This window comes from Homo sapiens, chromosome 10, assembly GCF_000001405.40.
Source record: "Homo sapiens chromosome 10, GRCh38.p14 Primary Assembly".
NCBI lineage: Eukaryota > Metazoa > Chordata > Mammalia > Primates > Hominidae > Homo > Homo sapiens.
This window is the reverse complement of record NC_000010.11, coordinates 1207796-1220151: the sequence shown is the minus strand read 5'-3', so window position 1 is coordinate 1220151 and position 12356 is coordinate 1207796. Positions and strand designations below refer to the sequence as shown.

General features: G+C 53.5%; 1 protein-coding gene across 1 annotated transcript in view, besides 2 other annotated features; it reads left to right on the top strand.

The window, feature by feature from the left end:
* Positions 1-12356, top strand: part of ADARB2 (adenosine deaminase RNA specific B2 (inactive)) — a 560213-nt gene that overhangs the window by 517374 nt on the left and 30483 nt on the right. The window contains exon 7 of the mRNA NM_018702.4: positions 3033-3201. Within this exon, the coding sequence (NP_061172.1) occupies positions 3033-3201 (169 nt within the window). The remainder of the gene's footprint in view (positions 1-3032; positions 3202-12356) is intronic.
* Positions 7390-7920: an enhancer, noted in NCBI's record as "H3K4me1 hESC enhancer chr10:1258172-1258702 (GRCh37/hg19 assembly coordinates)". NCBI's record gives its function as "activates a minimal SCP1, AML or CMV promoter by ChIP-STARR-seq in primed H9 embryonic stem cells {active_cell/tissue: H9 hESC(primed)}" and the evidence as "EXISTENCE:reporter gene assay evidence [ECO:0000049][PMID:30033119]".
* Positions 9278-9778: an enhancer, noted in NCBI's record as "H3K4me1 hESC enhancer chr10:1256314-1256814 (GRCh37/hg19 assembly coordinates)". NCBI's record gives its function as "activates a minimal SCP1, AML or CMV promoter by ChIP-STARR-seq in naive and primed H9 embryonic stem cells {active_cell/tissue: H9 hESC(naive and primed)}" and the evidence as "EXISTENCE:reporter gene assay evidence [ECO:0000049][PMID:30033119]".

The following is a 12356-nucleotide window of genomic DNA, read 5'->3' as shown; positions in this document are numbered from 1 at the left end:
ATCACCATTGCCATCATTATCTTCACCATCATCACCATCATCACCACCACCACCATCACCATTACCACCATCATCACCATCACCATCATCACCACCACCACCATCACCATTACCATCATCACCACCATCATCACCATCACCATTACCATCATCATCACCATCATCACCACCATCACCATCATCCATCACCACCACCATCACCATTATCACCACCATCATCACCATCACCATCATCGCCACCACCATTACCATCATTATCACCATCACCATCATCACCACCACCATTACCATCATCATCACCATCACCATCATCATCACCACCATCATTACCATCACCATCATCACCATTGCCATCATTATCTTCACCATCATATCACCGTCTCCACCGCCACCATCATCACCATTATCTTCACCATCACCATCACCTCCATTAACACCATCACCACCACCATTACCTCCATTATCACCATCACCACCACCATTATCATCACCATCACCATTAAAGCTGCAAAGAAGAGATTTGTGCTTTATCTGGGGAAGAGCTGGGCATTATTTGCTGTGCCTGCCCAGGCTCAATACCTCTCATTCGCTCTTTTTTCCGTGAATGACTCAAAGACCGGTCCAAATTTTATCTCATCAAGTATCTAGTTGGTTACAAAGTGAAAAGCCATCTGAAGCCTCTCAAAGGGTTTTTTCTCCAAAGAATGCAGCGATCTTTCTTCCCAAGGCATAGCCTTAAGTACTATGAATGTATAGTGAAAGAATGTCAGCTCTTACAGACAATTAGAAAATACACTGGAAATTACTTGGGATCTTTAGGAGAAAGTTCCTATATAAACCCAAGCATTAGTTACCATTCAGCACTGTATTAGTCCATTCTCACATTGCTCTAGAGAAACACCTGAGACTGGGTAATTTATAAAGAAAAGAGGTTTAATTGGCTTGAGGTTCCACAGGCTATACAGGAAGCATGATACTGGCATCTGCTTGGCTTCTGGGGAGGCCTCAGGAAGCTCACAATCATGGCAGAAAGTGACATGGCCAGAGCAGGAGTGAGAGGGCGGGGGAGATGCCACACACTCTTTTTTTTTTTTTTTTTTTTGAGACGTAGTCTTGCTCTGTCGCCCAGGCTGGAGTACAGTGGCACAATCTCGGCTCACTGCAAGCTCCACCTCCTGGGTTCAGGCCATTCTCCTGCCTCAGCCTCCCGAGTAGCTGGGACTACAGGCGCCCGCCACCACGCCCGGCTAATTTTTTTTTTTTGTATTTTTAGTAGAGATGGGGTTTCACTGTGTTAGCCAAGATGATCTCAATCTCCTGACCTCGTGATCCGCCCGCCTCTGCCTCCCAAAGTGCTGGGATTACAGGCGTGAGCCACCGTGCCCGGCTGATGCCACACACTTTTAAATGACCAGGTCTCATGAGAACAATTCACTGCCACGAGGACAGCACCAAGGGGACGGTAGTAAACTGGGCATGAGAAATCCGCCCCATGATCCAGTCATCTCCCACCAAATTCCACCTCCGACACTGGGGATTACATGTCAACATGGATTTCAGTGGGGACACGGATCCCAGCCATATCAAGCACTGTCAGTGGGGGAAAGTGAGGGGGAAATTGCATTTCCACAGCTTCTAAAACTTCAATAGGAACTTTCTAAAGAAAGCATTTAATATTCACTTACGTTATCATATGTATGTAAATGATATAATCACTATACTATTTTATATATAATTCAAATGCAAAGCAGTGGGCCATTTCCATATTACAATATAATCCAGATTTAATGTACAAGATTTTGGCTGGGTGCAGTGGCTCAGGCCTGTAATCCCAGCACTTTGGGAGGCGGAGGTGGGCGGATCACCTGAGGTCAGGAGTTCGAGACCAGCCTAGCCAACATGGCGAAACCCCATCTCTACTGAAAATACAAAAATTAGCTGGGTGTGGTGATGAGCACTTGTAATCCCAGCTACTCAGGAGGCTGAGGCAGGAGAATCTCTTGAACCTGGGAGGCGGAGGTTGCAGTGAGCTGAGATTGCGCCACTGCACTCCAGCCTGGGTAAGAGAGCGAGACTCCATCTCAAACAAAACAAAACAAAAACATACAAAATTTTTTCAAAGAAAGAGAAACATAAATTTAAGCTTCCTCTTGCTCATGCTAGTTCTCCAAGTAATTGTGGGGAATGTGGTATAGGGGGGCGGGGGGTGTCAAGGGGACCCTAGAAAGGAGAACACAGAACACCTGAGGGACCCACAGAGACCCACCAGACGCTCCGTCACTTCTGGGCCTGGCGGAGCTCCTGCCCATGGCGACCCTTGGTAATTAGGGGACACAGCAAGAGTGGAGGTGCCCAGGCAACCCCAGCACCTTCACAGGAGCCACCTCACCGACTCCTCACAGCCTGGGCGGCAAGCACTGCTATTACCCTCGTCATTAGAGGAAGTAACCGGGTCACAGTGACTTTGAGACACTTTCCCAAGGTTACACAGCCAGCTTACCATGGAGCCGGGACTGACACCTGGACCAGGGTAAGAGCTGAGTCCCACTCACCACCTATTTCTGCACAGCCCTCCAGCTAAGCATAAATATTTACATTTTTAATGGCTGAAAAGTGAGAAAAACGGTGTTTCACAACCTCTGAAAACGACACGTCCAACTGCGTGTTCAAGTCTGCATCTGTAAATGAAGCATTGAGGACGCGGTGGCCCCTTACTGGCCTGAGCACGGTCCAGGCCGTGGCTGCACTCACGCAACAGAGGCGGGTGTTGGTGAAAAGAGAGTCTGGCCCATGAAGCCTGGGGTTTTTACTCCCTGACCCTTGACTGGGAAGTTGGCCCGGCCCAGGCGGGATGGTGTGGCTCTGGAGCCCAACCCCACATGGCGCTTATTTCTGAAGCCCCTTCCTCGTGCCAAACGCCCAGCCATGGTGAGGGGCCCTTTGACCTCTGTTGCAGTCCTTCCTCTTCTCCCACCTCCCAAAACCAAGGCGGCTTCCCTCTTCTCACCCCTCCCCGCCCTTTTATCTCCTAGTGCACAGCAGCAAACACCTCGTCAGGAAGTTCCGCGGGCACCTGCGCACCAAGATCGAGTCCGGGGAAGGGACGGTCCCCGTGCGTGGCCCCAGCGCAGTGCAGACCTGGGACGGCGTCCTGCTGGGGGAGCAGCTGATCACCATGTCCTGCACGGACAAGATCGCCAGGTGAGGCCCACGGCTTCCTCTCGAGGATGTTGGCTGCGGCCGGTGGGGAGTGCCAAGCCCCAGGCTCCCTGCATCCCACTTCTGGTGAGGTCAGTGATGCTGGGCACATGCGGTCAGGGCCCTGTGCCTGAGCCGTGGAACTCCACAGCCATTCCACATGTTCAGTCCCACACCCTGAGGCCAAGGCACCCCGAGTCCCTGAGGGAGCAAGGCCCTGCCACCCGAGGCTGCCGCTGCAGAGGCAAACAGCCCCGAGCAAGGCCCGGCAACCCCAGGCTGTGGCTGCATGGGGCAAACACAGCCTGGCCTGAGGCTGCCGGCCAGTCGGGGTGGCCATAGGCTAACGAGAAGCCAGGGCCTCCCTCCCCACTGGGCTTTCCACAAAAACCTGACTAATGTCCAGGGACAGCCAAAGGCCTTGAGGTCAGCTGGGTGGAACACCTTTCCCCTACCATCCCGAGATATTGTCTTCTTGGATGGAGTTTTCAAAGCCTCCATGTGGAGGTCTCGGGATGAGAGGCCTCGGCTGAGCTCTGTGCAGAGGAGCAGGAAGCTGCAGAATGGGCACCCGCCTCCCTCCCAGCACCTCCAGTCGCTGCCACGCCCCAAGCTCCTGAGCTGCTCTGCCCAAGACCTCCCCCAACCTTGGTCTGACGCGTTGAGACCTCCCCCTACCTTGGCCTGATGCCCCGAGACCTCCCCCAACCTCGGTCTGATGCCCCGAGACCTCCTTGACCTCAGTCTGATACCCTAAGACCTCCCCCAACCTCAGTCTGATGCCCCAAGACCTCCCCCAGGTTAGTCTGATGCCCTGAGACTTCCCCCAACCTTGGTCTAATGTCCCAAGACCTCTCCGTCCTCGATCTGACCCCGAGACCTCCCCCACGTTGGTGACACCCCCACGTTGGTGACACCCTGAGACCTCCCCCACGTTGCTCTGAGGCCCCGAGGCCTCCCCCACGTTGCTCTGATGCCCTGAGGCCTCCCCAACGTGGATTTGAGGCCCTGAGGCCTCCCCAACGTGGATCTGAGGCCCTAAGACCTCCCCAACGTTGATCTGAAGCCCCTAGACCTCCCCCACATTGGTCTGACGCCCTGAAAGCGCCATCCCCAATGCAGGACATTTCTGTAACTTTGGTTTGGAAAATAGGGGTCACAGGTGTGGGGACAGCATGAGTTTCCCTAAAAGAGCCATGAATTCCCCACAAGCCTGATAAACTAACAACAATGTGGTCACAGGAAGTCTGGGTTGAGGGACCCAGAACACCCTTGGACACTCTGGTCGTCCTGTTCCTCTGTCATCTGCAGCTGGAGTGAAAACAGCGCATTTGGTGCAAATGTGGTCTCCGGGTGCCACCCCCAACTCCCAACGAGGCTGTGGCCCTGAGACCCTCTGTAAGGACGTTTTGTGGTGGAGCCAGGCAGGAGATGCAAAGGTTGGTCCCCAGGATGTGCAGGAAGGAGGCTGAGTGGGGAGGGCCAGGAAGCCGAAGGCCTGAGCAGGACCCGGGGCATCACCTCTGATGCTTGCATGGAGGCTTTTGTGCCCATGGGGTCCTGGGCTCCCTACAACCACAGCACGATCTGGGGAGAGAACGGAGAGAAGGGAGAGGGTGCGCACAGCCAGCCCCCGTAAAATCCTCTTCAAAACGCAGCCACCCAGGGGTTCTAGCACAGACAGATGCCCATGGGGCAGGCAGTGCCTGCATGGGACAGGCACCTGCCATATGCCCAACAGATAACAGGACAACTGTTTACCCATCCTAAGCCCGAGTGCTGGGCCCTGGCCCGTCCACAAAACCCAAGGGGCTGGAGGTCAGGGGGGTGACATCAGGGGACACAGGGCCCAGGAGAAAACGGGAGACCCCCGCCGCACCTGCCCCCGCCCCTGCAGGCCCCTACAGCTCTGCTCCCCGGGATCTACACAGACCGGCTTCTGGACTCCAGGCAGATGAAACCCCAGCCCTAACAACAATGGTTCCACCTTCTCATGGAAATCGTGGGAGAGCTGGGGAAAATGGTGCCCTTTCCTTCCTGGCTCTGGGCACTCCTGGCTGGGGAGCCACAGGGTCAGCCTAATGACAGTGGACCAAAGCCGTGGTTTCTGCATCAAAGGGAACAGCCCATTGTCGACAAATAGCTCATTCTTCAAAAGAAAATGTATTCTTCCTTTACAATGTTTTCATCTATTCATGATGAGGAAAAAGCAGTAATTTTCACCTCAACTGAAATTCTCTTGGTGCCCTAAGATAGCATTGGGTTTCTAAATTTACTCTCTGGTGCCCCAGAAAAATGAAGTAAATTAGCACCTACAGAATTGAAACTTGGCCGTCCCTGGGATCTTCAACATCCATAGATGGTGGACTAAACACAGGTGCGAACCCACGCGACGCCGGCAGGTCCAGGCACAGGTGCAAACCCACGCGACGCTGGGTACAGGTGCAAACCTACACAACGCCAGAAGGTCCAGGCACAGGGGCAAACCCACGCAACGCTGGGTACAGGTGCAAACCTACACAACGCCAGAAGGTCCAGGCACAGGGGCAAACCCACGCAACGCTGGCAGGTCCAGGCACAGGTGCAAACCCATGCGACGCCGGCAGGTCCAGGCACAGGTGCAAACCCACGTGACGCTGGGTACAGGTGCAAACCTACACAACGCCAGAAGGTCCAGGCACAGGGGCAAACCCATGCAACGCTGGCAGGTCCAGGCACAGGTGCAAACCTACACGATGCTGGACACAGGTGCAAACCCATGCAACGCCAGCAGGTCCGGGCACAGGTGCAAACCTACACTACGCTGGACACAGGTGCAAACCTACATGACGCTGGACACAGGTGCAAACCTACACGATGCTGGACACAGGTGCAAACCTATGTGTCACCGGCAGGTCCGGGTACAGGTGCAAAGCTACACAACGCTGGACACAGGTGCGAACCCACGCAATGCCAGGTCTGGGCACAGGTACAAACCTACATGATGCTGGACACGTGCAAACCCACGCGATGCCAGCAGGTCTGGGCACAGGTGCAAACCCACGCAACACTGGCAGGTCCGGGCACAGGTGCAAACCCACGAGATGCTGGACACAGATGCAAACCCACACAACGCTGGCAGGTCCAAGCACTCAGTGGCCACTCAAGGGGCAGGGTTGTCTCTCTGTAACAAAATCTCCTTGAAAAACAAAGGTCTACACTGCTTCCTGGCCAGGGGCTTTCAGTGTCCGGGATTTGGGGGTGATTCTAGACTCCTTTTGAAAACAGAATACAAGTTTGTGGAAATTGTCACACCCGTGGCTCTGGGCAGCTAGAGTGAGAATTCCTGAATTTGTCCAGGAATTAATCCTAAGCACCTGCCGGGTTAGAACAGAGTTGCGTCCTCTCTCTCCATTCACAAGTGCTTCATCCCCGAGTCTGGTGACAGGACAGGGGTGCAGTGGACAGGGGGGTGCCCAGGTGTGGGGGCACAGGCAAGGCTTGAAATGCCCCTAGCCACTGGCCCAGGCCCCTCGAAGCCCAGCCACCTTCTGGTTCTGGTACTGGTTCTCTCCTGTCTTAGACTTGGCTTCCCCTTGTCCCCATCATCTCTTCTCCCTCCTCCTCTCGCTCTCGGCCTCTCTCTGTCTCTGCGTCTGTCTCTATGTCTCTCCCTCTGTCTCTCTGTATCTCTCTCCCTGTCTGTCTCTAGCTTTGTCTCCATCTCTGTCCTTGTCTCTCTGTCTCTTTCTCTGTGTGCCCATCTCTGTCTCTCTTTGTCTTTTTATCTCTGTCCTTGTCTGCTTGTCTCTGTCTTTCTGTGTCTCTGTCTCTCCCTCTCCATCTCATCCTCCTCCCTGGCTGTGTGTATCTCATCTCTTCATCTCTGCTCCACTCACCCTCCCTCATTGATGAGCTCCCTGAGCTGCTCCTTCTGCCTCCCTCCCTCTTCCCCAAAGCCTTTCCCTCCTCGAGTGCTGCCACGCTGTTCTCTGCATGGAGCTTGCAGGGGTTCAGTTCCAGGTACTGTCTGCTTCTGCGTCTGAGTTCTGACCTCCAAGGGCTCATCAGTGCCGCTTGGCTGCAGGGTGCCTGCCACGGTGGGTTGGACTCAGGGCCGCTTGGCTGCAGGGTGCCTGCCACAGTGAGGTGCACTCAGGGCCTCTCAGCTGCAGGGTGCCTGCCACGGTGGGGTGGACTCAGGGCCACTTGGCTGCAGGGTGCCTGCCACGGTGAGGTGGACTCAGGGCCACTTGGCTGCAGGGTGCCTGCCACAGTGAGGTGCACTCAGGGCCTCTCAGCTGCAGGGTGTCTGCCATGGTGGGGTGGACTCAGGGACACTTGGTTGCAGGGTGCCTGCCACTGTGGGGTGCACTCAGTGGCCCTCGGGGGCCCTCAGTCAACAGCCCTTGTTGGTTTAGCAGGAGGGGGAGGAGGGGCAGCCATGGTCCCGACAATGACAGAAGTGGTGCCACCACTCGGAGCCTCTGCTCTGGGCCAGGCACAAGCAGTGACATGGGGACACAGCCTTTGGCAAGAAGGTACTTGTGTATCTGCCAAAATCAGACCTGAGCATAGACCAGGATGTACCTGCTAAGGCAGGAGCTGTTTCAGAATTGCGCCGCACTTGCCGTTTCTGAGCAGCAGCATATGTTATGCTAATGATTCCAGACCATAAGCATCTGGGCCGTGCATTATTTGTACAGAGAGACCATCTGATAACGTATGTGTTCATCTGTTTTCTATCCTGCACAAAAACAAAAATTAAACCTAGGGCTTAAATAACATTCAACATAAAGGACCCTTCATACACAAATACGGATGAAATATTCTAAGTCAGGGAGTTAATGACAGTCAGGGCTCTGTGGAGAGTGGAGTCTGAGGACATGGAGGTGGAAGTCACCGTCTGTGAAGCGGCAGGAGGACACACGTGGCCGTGGAAATGACCTCACGTGAGGCACCATGCCCGGCGCAGGATGCACAGGAGCCAGCGTCATCCTGAGGGCCATGGTGAGATGTGCAGGCAGTTTTGAAAGGTGGTTGTCAAATAAGTCATTATTAAAAACTAAATTACATAAACTTAGAACTAAATATAGTAAAACAAAGGTAACAGGTACTCAAAACTCACCACTCCAAATTATTTTACTGTTATTTGTGCTCTTGAAATTATTTACACCTCTTATATCTGTGTGGTGGAAATACCACAAAATCCTGCTGTTTTCCAAACCCCTTCATCGCTGCCCAAACCTGCTCAGTGACCTCACACTGGGCCCTTGAAATTGGCCACAGTGATGGTGCTTACACCATGGAAATTGGAAAGCTACACACGTGATTGTTTCTTTCTTTCGAGAGCTGACTGTGAGCAGCATACCATGGTCTCGTCCAGAAATAACATATTTGAGGCTGCTGGGAGTCCACTGTCTGAACCCGGGAGGCCCTCACCCTCCTTAGAATCCATGCTTCCCACCAAACTCTAAGCTTCTGGCAGGTGGGGACCTTGTCTCATTCCACGTCATGCATTCAGTGTCTGGCACAGTGGGTGCAGGAACATAGCAGGCATACATAGATCGATAGATGACAGACAGATAGATGGATAGAGATGACAGATAGATGATACAGCACATAGCAGGCATACATAGAACAATAAATGACAGATAGATGAAGATGACAGATGATACATAGATTATAGATCAGATGATAGTTAATAGATGATAGATGATAACAGATGACAGATAATAGATGACAGATGATAGGTAGATGATAGATGATAATGATAGATGATAGATGAAAATTAGATGATAGATCATAGATTAGATAGATGATAGATTATAGATTAGATGACTGATCGACAGATGATAGAAGATAGATAGGAGGGAGGGAGGGAGGGAGCGATGGGAGGCTGAGCCACAGCAGGAGAGGACAAGGGTTTTGAACCCCTCACAGCGCCATTGGCAACACCTTGGTGGGCTGGCAGGGAGAGTGCCCAGAGCCTCCCTGGCACAGGCTGGCAAGTACAGCCTCCGCGTTGCCCAGGTGCTAGCTGCAGCAGCCTTCAAGCACCGGCTGACTTGGCTATGATGGCTCCACTGAGACTCGTCCCGAGGAGACGTCTACACCACGGGGAGGCCCCAGCGCGGGAAGGGGCTGCTTCCAACTGTCCCCACCTTTCCATCTGCCTGAGGCCCACCTGCCAGGCTTCCTGCCAGGCTTCTTTACACCCCCACGAGGTACAAAGTGCTCCACACGGTCAGCATCCAGGAACCGCTCACTGCACTCATGAGCGAAGGAAACCTGCTGTTTTGTCAGAATGGCCATGACGTGAAATAGGAATCGCTGCGACGTGATTGATGATGCCCTGGGAACTGGAAGTTGAAAGGACTGCAGGCTTCTGACGTGCCACGCAGACGACTTTATGGAGGCGAAGCACGTGTCTTCTGCTCAGCCACTAACTTTGGCCAGGGCTCCAGAGGTATGTGTGCTGCTCATACATTTTAGGGATGTGCTAAAACCAGTGAAACCTACAGATTTTCTCTCCTAGACAGCACGAGTCTCATCCCACACGAGGCCGGGAACCCGTGGTCATATTTGCTTCTTCGTTTAGAAATTTCTCTGGGAATAGACGCAGTTCTGTTTGAGCAGCCATGAGATTAATGTCTGGCTGGCTTTTGATCTCCGACTTCGTGCCACTTTCATGTATTAAAATGAGAATAAATGGATAGAATTGTATGTATCATTAAGGTACAGAAAGTGTGTCCGCCAGACAAATAGGTCATTCTCTTTGCAATTTCCCTTTGATATCAATGAAAAATGATCTTTTGTATCAAAAGATCCAAACAAACAACACAGCTACATTACTTCCCACCTACAGATCAAAAGTAATGCACAGGCATCACCTTTAGGACCAATAATACCCATAGTGATATTCTTGGGTGACAGCAGACCTTCTTCTGGGTACGGAATTCCATGAATAATAATAGATTTCACTTCACAATGTCAGTGGTAAGATCAGTTTACAGCAAAATATGAAAGTGTGTGATAGAAATCTTGAAATTTTTCCAGTGGCTTAGAATGAGCCGTAAAACATTGTGGAGAAACCTTTTGTCACATTTCCTTACACATCATCTGATGTCCCCTCCGTCCTCTGTGTGGGCTTCTGGCCTCCTGTGGCCACAGTCATTCAGTGCACCAGGGCACAGGAGAGCACTCAAGTTGGGAAAGGGTGTGGATGACAGTGTGGTGTGGGTGTGTGGGTGTGGGCCAAGCTGTAGGTGTGGGCATGGGTGATGGTGTGGGTGTGGATGTGAGTGTGGGTGACGGTGCAGGCATGGGCATGAGTGTGGATGTGGGTGTGGGTGATGGTGTAGGCGTGGTCATGGGTGTGGGTGATGGTGAGAGTGTGGGTGATGATGTGGGTGTGGGTGATGGCATGGGTGTGGGCGAGGCTGTAGGTGTGGGCATGGGTGACAGTGTAGGCATGGGCGACAGTGTAGGCATGGGCATGGGTGTGGGTGATGGTGTGGGTGTGGGCCAGGCTGTAGGTGTGGGCATGGGTGACGGTGTTGCTGTAGGTGATAGTGTGGGTGTGGGTGAGGCTGTAGGTGTGGGCATGGGTGACGGTGTAGGCATGGGCATGGGTGTGGGTGATGGCGTGGGTGTGGGCGAGGCTGTAGGTGTGGGCATGGGTGATGGTGTAGGCGTGGGCATGGGTGTGGGTGTCAGTGATAGTGCAGCCATCCCCACACCTAAGGGCTGAGGCAGGTCACCCTGTGCTGATGGGGTTGTGATTCCCTCTCAGGCGCCCTCAGCGTTGCTCTGGGGATCACTGAACGAGTCGTTTGTCTCCATCCTGTGTGTCTCCCACAATGCACACCTAATGTTCTCCGCCATTCAGAAGGATCTGGGGGTATTGGCAGCCACACGCCCCTCACTGCATCTGAAATCCACCGTGGTATCTGGGGACCCACGATGAACCACAAGAGGATACCCTGAGCCTGTTTACTGGGCAGAACCCCCACCCCACCTGCCTCAGTGCCCTGACAGCACCGACCACTCATCAGGCTCCGGGCGCCCCAGCAGAGAAAGCTGTGGGCCAAGCCCCTGCTCAGAAGCCCCTCTTCCTGGGCCAATGGTCTGTGACCATCTTGTCTCCCCCGACAAATCAGGCCCTCCCAGAGGGCAGGAACCAGGCCCTCCCTGTGGCACTTAGAACTGTGTCCTCACATCTCAGGGGCTCAGCAAACACGACTGACTTGATAATTACATGACCACTTAAGAGCCCATGGGTGCTGCCTGGTGGCTAAGACCAGCCCAGAGGAAACGGCCTGATGTGCAGCCAGGCCCACTGGGGGTCCAGGCCATGAGAGGACGCTCTAGAGTCCCATGTCCCTGAGGCACCTCAGTCCGCCCAGGGCCTCGTGCTGATGCAAAGGGGCTGGGGAAGCAGGGAGGTGAGAGAATGGGAGGCAGGGACAGAGCCCAGCATGGGGCCCGGCTGCCTGCACCTGAGTGCTGGGGCCAGGGACAGACACACCCAGGTGTCCTTGGCCTCCTCTGTGACCTCAGAGCCAGTGGGTGCTTGGAGGACAGGGACCCCGGGGGGTGGCACCAGCCACACGCACCCAGGGAAAGCACGACCCTGCAGACACCTTTTCAGACTCTGGCCTCCAGAACTGGGGGAACATCCCTGTTTCAAGCCACCCCACTGTGGTTGTCCCACAGCAGCCCTAGGAGGCTGGCACTGGCAGGTGAGAGAAATCACCTATCCGGTCTTCAGGAAATCAGAGAACAGATAAAGTCACAGTAAACTCGATTCCTAAAATCCTACCACCACCATAGCCCTGGGAAGATGGGATGGAACTGCAGAAAGTGGTAGTCACAGGTCAATAAGAATTGACCTGCAAAGCCACAAGGTAAGGTTAGGAGTGCCCTGGAGACCAAACCCTGCCCCTGCATGGGAAGAGGGTCGGACACCGCAGGCCTAACAGTCCCATCCTGAAGGCCTGTGGACGCGGCCTGTTTTTCCAGCTCTATGGAGCCAGGCTAGACTCTCACCAACAGCCAAACCCCAGGCTCCTAAAAGAATGAGGAAAACTGCAGAGGTGCTTTTAGCTTTTGTCTCTAAGATTAATCAAACATTGAGCGGCATATAAAAAATCTAAATCTCCTGGAACTAATGTTCC